Below are 13,471 nucleotides of genomic sequence, written 5' to 3' on the forward strand. Positions count from 1 at the left end.
AAAAAATATGAAATTTTGTCTGTGTGTACTATAAAATAGAAATACTTAAAAGCATCAGTATGTCATTTAAAACATCTCAGTTTCAACTTTCATGTCACTGAATTTGTCTTTTCTTGAGGAGCCAGCTTTCACATTTCTAATTATTTGAAATATGAAAACAATCATAAATACAGTCTTGGATAGTATATAACTTTCTGTTAGACTTATGACAAGATGGACTAGTTTATTCTATTTTGAATCAGAGGTAGCTAACACAGGGAGTAAAGGAAGGTGACATATGTGCTGGATTATAACATATATCCTAATTCAGACATCCCTTCTTACTGGATATCTAAAGATAAGTTATTAATAGTTCAACCCCGAGGGAGAATGTAATGAAACACTCCTCCAAGGTTTAAATTAGCTACTATGCTAAATGCAAATTACTTATTTATTAAAAATTCCCCGGTGATCACTAGCATAGCTTAAAATTCTATCAGAGTAATAAAATGTATATTACTATATATCCCTAAATGCCTGAATATAATTCATTCTATATTCTGTGATTTATTATTTAGACAAAATATACTTCCCTGGTCTCCTCTATACTTCCATTGGACAATTTGTCACTTTTTAAATAGTCATTTTTAAGTGTCTGCCTTCCATCAAGGGCTGTGTATGGTTTTCCAGTCTATCTTCAGTGTCCAACAGCCCTCAAGCAATTTTAGCCTCAGTAAAAAATTCTTGAATAACTAACTTAATTGAATCAAAGATCTATAATCCATCAGCTACTCATGGATAAGATCTATAACGTTCTGCAAATGAATACTCTATGACACTTGTGATTTCCTACAAAATGGGGAAGAGGATAAGCCGTCTTGTTTGCCCATTCATGCCAATATAATTTTCCATACAAGAAAACAGCATTATTTCCATACAAGAAAATTATCCTGTATAGTTAGAAGCATTCAAAGGAATTGTAGTACTAGCCTGAAATTGATGGTAAAACACATGGGCATGCCTAAATAAAGGGAAAAGGGGCCCAAAGCTGTTCAGATGAAGAGACTAGATGTGCAAAAATACATATATGGGGAAATGAGAAAGATGGAAGAAGTATCAAGAAACCCTATCAGATTACAGAAACAAGATTAACTGAATACAGATGAAGACCATAAAATTCATTGTATTATCTTTTGGGAAAAAACACTAGGCTCTTAGATCAACTTGAGGAAAAATAAATTCAGACGAAAGTGCTGATTTGCCCAATGTCTCTTAGAGTGAATCAACACTCTAGCTATCAGAAATACATTTTACAGAATCCCATAATTATTCTTAGAGTGTTTCCATTTATGCCCTTACAGCTTAGTATTTTTCTTCTCAAGGGATGGCTGGGAAAGAACTTAATCAACTTGTCCCGAACTCAGCTCACTGTCATCTCTAGCTTTATGCTGCTCTCACCCCAAAGTTCTGAAGCTTGCTCATGCACACTGTCCCCCAGCCCTATCTCTCACACACTTTCCTTCTTCTGTTAATGACACAAATAATCCCTAGGTACCCTTTTGTATCACTTTGTTCTATACAAGTATAAAAAAGCTTTCCCTGTTCTCTTTGCCCCCTACCTCTGCCTAATTAAAATTTAATTTTCACCTTGTCATCATAATCTTCCTCAGATTCTGTCTACAGCCCTCCTCAGAATACTTTAGTGATCCTCTATTGTCAGACTGCTTAACATGGCACTGGAGGTGGTTCACGATCTTGCTCCAACATGCTTTTCCAGTCTTTTGCTCTACCATTCCCTCAGTTTACCCTTTGTTCCAGCCTCATTCTACTGCCTCAAACACCATGCTGTTTTTTGCAGCATGCTTTTATTCACACTGTTCTTTAGACTAGAGTTCCACTATTTTCTTCTATTTTTACTTCAAATTCTAGCTTACTGCGTCATCTCCTCATGAAGATTTGACTAGTTGCTCCAATTGAATTTAATCTCTTTTTTCTTCTTTCCAACATAACATGTTAGTATCCTACTGATAAATTACTTATGTTCTGCTTTGTGTTAATGTTAGATATCTACATATCAGCCCATAAAATTCCAAACAAAAAACTAAAGATATTGCGATACCTGCCGTAGACTTTTAAATCAGTCTTTCAAAACCTGCATCAGATTTATTCACTTGGGAATTCTGCCTTCTCTCTGCCTAAAGATTGTATTACCACCTTAGATTTTGTACCTGTAAACTAAGGGAACACAGATTTCATTTTGGCAGAGATCCAGAATTTCACCCTTCTACAATGTAATTTCATTAAAAATAAAATAAAACAACATACAGAATCAATTACATTTTGCTAGGCCTGTGGTCGGACTTTCTAGTTCTCGCCCGAGTCCTCTTATCCTTAGGTCTGTGATAATCTGTGGTTTCAAGTTCTCAATAATATGCTCTCAATATATTATAGCTTATTTTACTCTCTTTACACACTTTTTTGTAAAAGAATTATTACAGTATGTATGTACCATCTAGTTCCATGATCAGAATTTGCATCTAAGCTGTACATAAAACTGCCACTTTAGATTAAAGCCAGTGAATGTTTTGTAAATGAGCATTAACCTGAAGTAATAACACATGTTTATCTGGCAGCCTGCAGGCAACTGAAGAGATCAGCTGTAGAGGACCCCAAATTACCAGCACTGTTCTGCATTATTCAGTTTTAACCTTTAAGACAGGAGGACACTGTGAGCCCAACTTGTGTTTGAACTTGTGTTGACATTTATATAATCATGATTAGTAACTTTTGCTTTATCAGAAAAGTGTTTGTCCAATAATGAGTAAATACTTGAGACATAGTCTGGCAGTTATTGTGGAAAAATGAGAGATGAGTTAGCCATGGCCTCTGCTCTCAGGGGCTTATAATCTAAGAGGAGAATGTATTCATATCAAGAGCCGCCAGTACAGAATTAAAGACTGTGGAGCAAAATGGCCAAAGCAGCGGTGTTGTCAATAAATGGTGTAGAGGGGCATAGGCTGAAAGAATGCTTCTTTGAAGGATGGAACTGGATTGGTGGAAAGAAGGAAAAAAAAAGAGTAAAGGGAGGGACAAATCTTTGGAGGTTTGTAACACAGTAAACAGAGCAGCTCCCAACAGAATGGAGTTGCAGTGGACATAAGTCACAGATAAGGCCTGACATTGAAAATAAAGTCAATTTGTGGCAGATCCTGATCCCCAGAGAAAGAAGTTTAGGCTCTATTCTGGATATAAAAAGGGAGAGAGACCAGATCAAATGGATGTTTAGGAATACTGATTTTAAAGTATCCCAAGTAGATTTGAAGTAGACCAACCAGAGTCCAAGAAATTAGCCTTGAGACTAATTTCATAATCCTATCATAAGGTCACAGGCTTTTGAAGGAGAGTGATGTAACAGTGCAGTCTACAAATTATGAATTATGCCATTCTCCCACAAACAGAGGCGTTTCAGCATGAAAAGGGAATTTGGCATAGGTAATGTGATGACCTAGATGGTTAGAAGGCCAGGTATTGCCCAGTCTTTTTCTTCCCCTTAGCTACAGATAATTTATTCATAGGGCCTACCTCAAATACATTTTTTTTCTGTTTTAATTATAGGAGCTTTACATTGGGCATTTGCCTTCCAGCTAACTGTGTGACCAAACGTTTTTGTATAATCACTGTTCCTATAGTTATATTAATGGTTATATGGAGAAGTCTAGGCTAATGAATGTTTGTTATAATAATTATAAAATTTACATTAGGCTTGTTTAATGTTCTATAATGGTGACAATATTATTTTCCATTTGTTTTTTGCCTTTAGCCAGCTTAGAGGAAAAGAGATGATACTATAAAAGTAAAATATTCTTGGGTTCTATGTAACCATTATATATTAACTCAATTCTAATTATGAATTTTGGACTTAGGTGACTTTTGAATAATATATATGTAAAGTAGACATCAACCTTCTGTTTGAAATATTGATTGGAAATTATAAATGCCTATGCATACTCTTGGACTTCAAGTACTTTCTATATGGGGAAGCAATCAATAGAAATGTTGAGGCAACTTAGAAATGGATTTTTACACTTCAGATTTTAGATATGCCACATTTTAAGAAATGCATCATTTTACCTTTGATAAACAAGTAGCCATTTCCTGGATTCAACTGGTGTCCAAGAATTAGTCATAATTGTGAAAAAAATTGCCTTTCCAGAGTAAAAGTTATTATGTCTTAATGTATTGTGTATAAATCTACAGTTCTAAATAAATAAGCATAATTTTCTCAAAATATTTCTGGCTTGGATAAAGCTAGTTTTGACTAGTGGCAAAATAAAGCCCTATTTGCCTTATCTGCTGATATGAGATTTTGGAGTCTGTGGGCTAAAGTGGGGAGCCCCTGACTCCTTGCAAAAGATACTCAGAGTGCCTTAAATTAATATTATCTCGGCAGGGCAGCAACTGGGCCAGCAGCCCTAGAGTCTGTAAAGGAAGGCAATACTTTCTTGGTGGGAGAGAGATTTTAAGAGATCACATTTTCAATGCACAAAGAATTTCTTTTAAGATTTTCCAAACGAGAGGGAGGGTGATGAGAGTCCCCATTTAATGTCATCCATGTGAATTTTCAAACTTGAGAACTGAGTCACAGCATAGGCTGCATGGGTGGTGGTGTGAACCTGTGGAGACTGGTGTGTGCTGTAAATGTGTCAACCTTTTCTCAGCTTAGGAACCTACCAAAGTACTAAAGGCCGCTGGGAGTCAGGGAGTATGAGATCGGAGATGAATAATGAGGAGGAGAGACTGAACAAAAGTCAGGTGGGGTGTTAAACATTTAAAAGAATCAAAGCTGGATCTCTGGCAACTGCTTTGCACCCTAACCCTGAGGCAGGAAAGCAAAATGTTGAGACTCAAAGTTAGAAAATGTAAAAGGAAATTAAGGAGGAAATAACAAAGGGAAAGAAAATTTTTAACTGTCATCAAATGAATGAAAACAAAATGACAGAATGACGAAAACAAAAAATAGGAGAAATAAAATTTTCCTTTCATTTGTTTTAAATGATAGTCTGACTTTAGTAACGTGAGTATATACTCTTTTTTCTTGTTGTTTGCAAAACCCCATCAGCCTTTTCAATTGTGTCAGGGAAAGAGAAAAGATGCCACAGCATTTGTTTTGAGCCACTCCATCACTGTGTCCTAGAGATGATAACAAAACTTGTCAGCAACTTCTGTACATCATATATTTTCTGTATCAGAGTTAAGATGTAGAAGCGATAGAAAGTTCTGCCCATTTTTAGCAGTATCAAGACCTAGTAATAGAATTGCTCGCATGTAAGCCCTCTTCCTTCTAAAAGAATGCCAAATATAAAGCATAATTCAGTAGTTATTTGTATTCCTTTGACATCTAAAAAAGTATCGATAGAGCAGTGGAAATAGTCAGTGGAAATGGGACCAGGGTTGGGGGAGGGAACGGTTCAGGCAAAGTTTTTAGAGATGTGAGATTTGTGCAAATTCCCCAGTGAACAAATTTCCATTAGTAAGTCAAACGTTACAATGAATCAGGTAGAGATAATATCAGAAAACCCAATATTAGCAACACTTCACATCCTTCTCAAGCAATGCTTCTAAGTTTGTGGATACTTTTGCTATATACATCTATACACCCAAAACATGTCAGCGTCAGGAAAACCAGTATTACACAGATTTACTTTTCTGATTTATTGGATTCTAAGTAAGGGTTTGTGAAGCAATCCTTGCTCAAATTCTTTTGAACATGGTTCTATGTTGTCACTTACACTTTGTAAACATATAATATATCCCCTGGCTATAGTTATAATAGCATCATGATAAATCAAACCAAAGTGCACCCCCCCACACCACCATCCCAAGCCAGATAATTGCTATTTTCAGATATCTCTGTTTGATGTCTGTATTTCTGTGAGATTTATTTTATGCTGATTTGCAACATATCATCCTATAGATTATCCATGCCATTTCAGAGTCATTACCTTTACTTTGGGTTGGTCTTCAAATGAGTTATTTTTCATATTCTCTAAGAGTGTTTCCCTCATTCTGGCAAGTATGTAGTGACAAATTCAATAGGTTAAAGTCCCTGTTACAAAGTTATATAAAGAGTTGTACTGAGAGCCCTTATGAAATGGGGACAATACCCTCTCTTAGGACATGTGTTCTTTACTTTAGAATTGTTAATTCCATTTTCTTACAGTCAGGCAGGTGCCAGAAAACAAAACAACTTGCCAAGACAGCAGTCCTCAGAGATGAGCATTCTAAATATTAGTAAATGATTATCTCCCACTATTAAAATCAATGATTGGTTCTGTCACTGGTTTGTAGCCATCATCATGTTTCTGCTTAGCTCTGGCACTTTCTGAAAGGAAAGTTTCTGATGTGGCTGAGTGCTAGTTTCTGGAAGAAACTGGAAGCTCTATTGTGAAGTAACTGGAAGGTGGTTGCTGCATTGAAGTTATAAGGCTCACTCACCTAAAACTTTTAGACCCTTGCTGCTGGTCAACAGACATTTTGGTAGCATCAGCAAAAGCTGAAAGACTGTTAAGAACACAGAATCTCAGACTTCAGCCTAGATCTATTCTTTCAACCACAGTAAGGAATGAATGATAAAAATGCAGTAATAGGTGTGAAAACAGTTGTTAGAGCTAATTGGGAAAGGGGGATAATACCCTCTTCTCTTAGGATATGTGTTATTTACTTCAGATTTTTTTCTTGATTAGGTTTTCTTGAGTGAGATTCTAGTACTACTGGTTTTGATATTTAAGGAAAAAAGGATATCATGTGGGAAAGCATCAGATCCAAGATAAAAAGATTTAGAATCCAGTTTATTCTACTTTTGCATTTTAAGAGCTATGTGACCTTAAGTCAGTCATGATCTCTGAGCTCGGGCTCCTCAGCTTTGAAATGGGACTCTGCTAACATCTTTTCTAGCTCCTCTCAGTGGTTAATGATGCACCTCAAATGAGAGAAATATATGAAATCAGTTTTGAGCTGTGATAAGCAATATAAATATAACTTACATTGAGAACAGAATGATCATATAATTCTAGGAGTCATCTTGGGAAAGAGAATCAAGGAGAGAAAGGACTAAGTAGTTAATAAGTGCCAGCCACATTCCACAAATTACCTCACTTAATTCTCACAGCCACTTTCCAAGGTAGTCATTCTCATTCCCAATTCACAGACAGAGGAACTGAAGCTCCAGGGGATGAGAAGCTTGGCCAAGGTCATATAATTAAATACATAGAATAGCTGGAAATTGAAGCCAGGTTTAGCTTGTTCAGTCACTGCACCTTGCAGCCAGTCAGCTATTTTTTTCACCTGCTTCCAAGCCCAAAGCAAACAAAATATTGCTTCAGTTGGAAGGAAGTTAAAAACATTTCCCAAGTGAAAGCAGCATCACAGCACAATCAGCTTTGCGTTGAACATAAGTCCTTTCCTGTTTTAAGCACCTCTCAGTGATCTTCCTCAAAATCCGCCAGCCGATCTGGCCCCAGCCTGTACTTCAGTTTCATCTCATCCATTCTCTCCCTTATTCACTTTACTCCAGCCAGATTAGCCTTTGGATAGTTCTTTGAGCATAACATGCTCTTGTCCTCGGGGTCTTTGCATGTGGTAAGACCTCTGGATCTTTGTTCTTCCCTACTCTTGGCCACCTTATTCTCTACATCCCTCAGGCTTACCTTTAAAGCACCTTCCCAAAAATCCTCATCAAAAGCTCTTCTACTCATATCCTCTCAGCTTTCAGTTATTTTGCTTTAAACATTTATCCTAATTTCTGATTAAAGCATTCTCTTATTTTCTGCCCCACACTATTCCACACACCTTCCAGGAACAGAGGCTGCATGAGACGTGAATCATATTAGCCCTCTTATATCATGAGAACTAGCATAGGGCACTCATTCAAGGCCTTGTTAAATAAGAGGAAGGGAAATATGGGAGAAACGAAAAGCAAAAGGGAGAAACAAGCAAAGGGGACAAAGGAGGTATTTGGAAGTTCATGTAGCTGAATTTGTTTGTTGTAAGAATTTAAAGAGATAATCATGGGGGAAAAGAAGCACTTCAAATCGTGCCTGGGACGTATTATTCAATGATTCATAACTCTTCTCCATTGAAAATATCTCTTTAACCCAGAAGGGTTAAACAAAACCAGAAATCTAGGAAAGCAATCTCCTACTCTAACCAAAATCGATTCCATAGGAGTTGAAGAAATGTAGTTCACACAGACATTTCACATCCATGTCAAAGTCCTCTGCCTCATAGCCTCTCCTAGCCCAAACGTCACATTTTCAGTCAAAGCAGAAAACCTATTTCCTTTCAATTTCCCTATTGTTCTCTTTTTCTAAGTTGGCTGCAAACTTTCTCTTATTGGCCTGGGAACAGCTGAGCAGCAGCTGGAAAGACCATGGTAATCAGCAATGGGCAAATGAAAGTCAGGATGAAGAAGGATACAAGAGGATTCTGGCAAGTCAGTGTCCCAGAGTAGTGGAATTGACCTTAGACAAGTCTCTTGCTAGTGTGTTAGCTCAAACTGCCAGCATTGGCAGTGTAGCTTTGTCACTTACTTGCTGTGTAACTTTAGTAAGTTACATAGCCGCTCTGTTCCTCAGTTCCCTGAACTGTGAAACAGGAATAGTAACCTCCTCATAGGGTTATTATGAGGAGTAAATAAAATCATTGTCAAGAACTTAAACAGTCATGGCAGAGTAAGCACAATAAATTTTACCTATAATTATTTATTGTGTGTGTGTGTGTGCGTGTGTGTGTGTGTGTGTGTATGTATGAGTAAAATGTCATTAGCTGATGAAGGTCTTTTGTAGCATGAACAAACCATGGTTTAATAAGTGAAGCTTACTAATTAAGTTAAACATTTTGGCGTTTGAATTCTGTCTGAGAATGCTTGTCTTCTTGAATTTCCTATTTCCCTTTTATAAAAAAAAAAAAAGAAAAAAGAAAAGGTAAAACAACAGTATTGTGAAGAGAGAATGGCAAACAAAGTTACCGAATCCTGTAGGAGAAAATTTTTGATCCCTGAAATCTTGGAAGACCCTTGGAACTTCACTCTGATGCAATCTTTGTCAGATGGGACATGACTGTACAAAAAAGAGTGACAGAAAAGCTAGGAGAAGACGTGAGGCATACTTGTAGGAAACAGGTCTAGGAAAGGTTGGGTAAAAGGGAATATTCTGGAAAAACTGGAAAGGATTCAGAAAAATAGGACTAGGATCACTAACGTTAAATCATTTCCCATGTCCAGGCATTATTTCAAGGGCTTTGTACGCATTAAGTTCGTTTAATACTTTCATCGACCTTAGAAAATACGTGCCTTTATCATCCCCATTTTAAACATAAGAAAACCGAGGCAGAGAGAAGTAATGTAGCTTGCCCAATGATCACATAACTTTCAAAGAATCTCTTCATTTAAAGGCTCAATAAAATGGAAAATGTGGGGTTCATTTAGAGTTGGAAAGAGGAGTAATGAGGATAAGGATGGGATATGAGTTCATATTAGTGAATTTATAGCGATGTTTTTGAGGTTTTAAATTCCAAAAGCTTTTGTATAATTTTAGAAAGCATTTCTTAAACTCTGATCTCTCTTTAATCTACCCCAACAAAGAAATAATCAGACTGTACTAGAAAATAAGTCATAAAAACATATGCATCAATAAATTCTTTTGTTTGGGTGAAAAGCAGTCCCAAGCTTGAGAGTATGTAGCTTTTCTATCGTAGTTGTAATATTTTTTTTTTTACTCAACCCTGTCTGTTCTCTCCAACTTGTCCTAACAACCAATATACTTCTAGCTATAATAATAATAAAAAAGGACATTAGAATAGTAACAGAAAAATAACACAAGACTTTAGGGGCTGGTAATAGAAGATAATTCCTCAGACACTATAAACTCCTTGCTTACTTGGTTTGTAACCAGGGAACTTTTTATAGTTAATAACCATCATTTTTTTTTTTAACTCCTCTTGCAAGAGCAAATTCAATCCAATTCTTCACTGGGACATAGTAAACAAAAAATGCGAAGGCATTTGAAAAAGTTCACCCATTTAGATTTAATTACATACATAACTGGCGTCCTCCCAAGTGTGAAAACGCTGTAACCAATAAATTAAACAATAAAATGCTATCTGAGCAGAACAGATTTATATAGAAGATGCACGAGAAATCAAAATTCACTGACTTGTTTGGAGTATTTTTACCCAGAAAAGTTCTTAAACACAGAGCAAAACGCCTGCTCTTTGAGTCTTGCCTTCTTTTGGACACTTAGGTCAGTCACTTTCCCTAGAGGGGAGTTGTTGCACAGTGACTTCGAAGTGAATAGGTTTCAATCTCAAAATCATCTCTCTGTGTTAAGGGTTCATTAGGTCTGTGCTTGTATGTTAGATTTTTAGGACCATCTCATTTGTCTAGTACCGCTTCTTACATGCTTAGTTAATGACTACTAAGTGAAGCTTAATTTAGCAGGAAGGTTATTTACATTAGAGCTTCCTTGAAATACACACACAAGGAAGACTTTGCAAACTTCTGCAAAGCCAAAGGAGTGGGGAGACAGGGGCATCCAGACTACCAAAATATCTTCCTAGGTAGTATTATTAAAAAAAAAATCCCATTAATAATAGTAATACAATAATCTGAGCATTGTCGACAATTTTGAGCTTCATGAAATGTATTTTTAAATGTACCCACTTTCAATTGAAATTTCTTGTGAATGACAAACTTGGAATAAGAAAATGAGGGAGACTGGACTCTTGCAACCTTTTGGACATACCTTTGCCAAATGTAAATTGTTTGACGGTATGGATTTACTGCATTTTTCATGCTACCATTTGTAGTAAAACTAAATGGAAAAAATCTTTCCTCTTTAACAAAACCTCGTGATAACAATACCTTAAAATACACTTCATAGCTGCTGGTCAACCATGTTAAAGGCACAATCTGATCTCTGCTGCTACTTTCCTGAGGAAAAGAGCCAATCAGCTGAGCAACTTCCTCATTTGTTGTGCTTTATGAAAATGAAAATGCAACAGACCTTGGGATTTCAAAGCCATCCATGGTTACAAGTGAGGAAATAAATATATAACAGTGGGGACTTTTACTTTATCATTAAATTATAATGCCCTTTGTTTTTCTGTTGGCTAATTCAGACAGCAAAATGGCTCTCTCTTGATTTGCAAGAGTTAATTTCTTACCATACTTTCTGCATCACACCATAAAGATAACTTCAAGTAATTTTGGTTAGATTGTGTTTTATTCATTTGTTTGTTTTGGAGTTCTAGGATCTGACAGGAAAGCAGTGTGAAACAGGCAAAGTTCAGAGTTACTCTCAGAACGACTCAAGCAGGATCCATTTCCTAGTTCCCCCCAGCTGCGGATTTTAAAGTCTGGATCTAGCTCCTGCTCTTGTTTCTCTAAATATTTATCAGTTAACAATTACACATCTGCTCCAATGGCAACAAACTTGGCTGAAGAAATAATGCTTTTCTTCCTCCCACCAAAATATGCAAAATAATGCAAGTCCATCTGAAGATTTTCGAATCCAATTATCAGACTTAAGTCCCCCTATTTTAACACTCATTTTATTAAACATATTGGAAAGTTATGTTATTTCAGTATGCTCTCTTTCTCCTTGTTTGCTTTCTATTGTTCCTACTCGTTTGGTTCTTTCCAGTAAGCTTCTCTAGTGAGTATTTTGCTCTCTTATCATACATGCCGGCTATAGTGAAGTTAATAGAAGTGCTTAGTAAAGTCCTCTGAATCCTGGTATAAGAATCCTTTCACACAGAAGAGAATTCCTTTCGCTTGGAAATATTTTAAGAAATAAATTTATGAAAGATTGTCTGATATGATTTAGATCATATTTGATCAGGACACTAAACTGAGACCTGCATTTTGCATGCCTTTTATTTTTATATTTGCAAAGGGCTCTTTACACAAGTTTACTTAAATTGACCTTTAATGCTTTACATAAATGCAGTTTTTGCAAACCCGAGTCAAAGCAGAAAATAGAAGTTTTACTCACCTTAGTATATTGAATCTTCAAATCGGTGAGTAGGACAGGTAAGTCTGGCGTGCCTGAGGATGACATTTCTGATTCGGCTCCTGGAACACAGGTGACTGGCTCAGCAATTTGGTTCTGATAGAGCACTTGGCTTTATTTGTTCCTTTTTTATCTGCACGGGCTAAAGTTTATTTGCATACTCGGATACGATTGGATGAACAAACTCAGAGCAAAAAAAGAAAACGACACTACTTATTTGTAACACCTAGGGCAGGAAGCCTTTGACTTTAAACTTAAATCCTTAAGAAACCAGTGCTCCAGCATCGAATTTGTACCTGGAGACAGTGCACTATTTGCAGATGAATTAATTTACAAAGCCGAAACCTGTGATAAGTGTATGCAGCAGCTGCTCTGGCCACTAAGGCCAGTTATTATTTTTTTGACTTCTCATGCTTTTTAATGCTACTATGTAACTTTCTGTTCTCTGACAGACTTGGAATCAGAGAATTTGAGGATTGAAAAGAGTCTAAAAGGGCACTTGTTCTCAGTAGAAGCTGGCCAGGTGTCTTCAGGACAAGGCTTTCAGGAAATCAGTCCATCTCCCAGAAAATCAAGGTGCTGTTTGGGGAAGAAAGGCCCTTTATCTACACCCTACCCTAAGTTAGTTTTAAAATATCGTATCAGTCTTGTGTATTTTCAGTGCTGGGTAAGTAGACCTACTGTGATCTCAGAAGCCCTAAATTATCTTTATTTTCTATATGTGAACAGAAAAGCCAGCAGGACTTTTAGGGAATTCGGAACACACTGTCACACACAATCACCACAATTAGAAATATGGCAATATCATCTATTAATACTCATTTAAAATGAAAGTAATCCTGGTTTTGGAAGTTGTCTGTATTTATCAACATAGGCAGTGTACAAAGACTAAATTTAAGCAGGGCTTCCAAACAATTCAAGTTCTTAAATTAATATTTAGCTGAAGGACAATTTTTTAAACAGTGTTACTCCCATTTTAAGTACAATACTTTATTGTATTGTAGCTCTAGCAAACGTTACAATAGGAACAAGATAAAATACTCTGGATGCTCTGATTGTGGAGAATCAACCAATTTTTTTTTTTCTAGTGAAACTTGCCAATTCCCCTGAATATGGGACTTACATAGGGAAACTAAAAATTTCTGAATTGTTTGCCCAAATCAGGTGCAGCACTTGTTTCCCTTTCTACCCTCATTTCATATCCCCATTTTAGAGACATACAGAGGGTGAGTAGCTTACTTATGGTCACAGATCTATTAGTGCAGGACCAGAATTTCATTTCAGGCCAGTCTGACTCCCAAACCTGGACTCTTATTTCTGTTTACTATTTCTACCCTATTCTCCACAAGAGAACTCCTACATGGGTTCAAGCATCAACTGCTTTGGTTTTCTCAGTGAATAGTCACCCTTACAGGCATTTAAAC

General features: G+C 36.6%; 1 protein-coding gene across 1 annotated transcript in view; it reads right to left on the bottom strand.

Annotated features, from left to right (window-relative positions):
* Nucleotides 1-12,148, bottom strand: part of ALDH1A1 (aldehyde dehydrogenase 1 family member A1) — a 52,383-nt gene extending 40,235 nt beyond the window's left edge. The window contains exon 1 of the mRNA NM_000689.5: nt 12,030-12,148. Coding sequence (NP_000680.2) covers nt 12,030-12,095 — 66 coding nt within the window. The 5' untranslated portion in view covers nt 12,096-12,148. The remainder of the gene's footprint in view (nt 1-12,029) is intronic.

The sequence above is a fragment of the Homo sapiens genome, chromosome 9 (genome assembly GCF_000001405.40).
Source record: "Homo sapiens chromosome 9, GRCh38.p14 Primary Assembly".
NCBI lineage: Eukaryota > Metazoa > Chordata > Mammalia > Primates > Hominidae > Homo > Homo sapiens.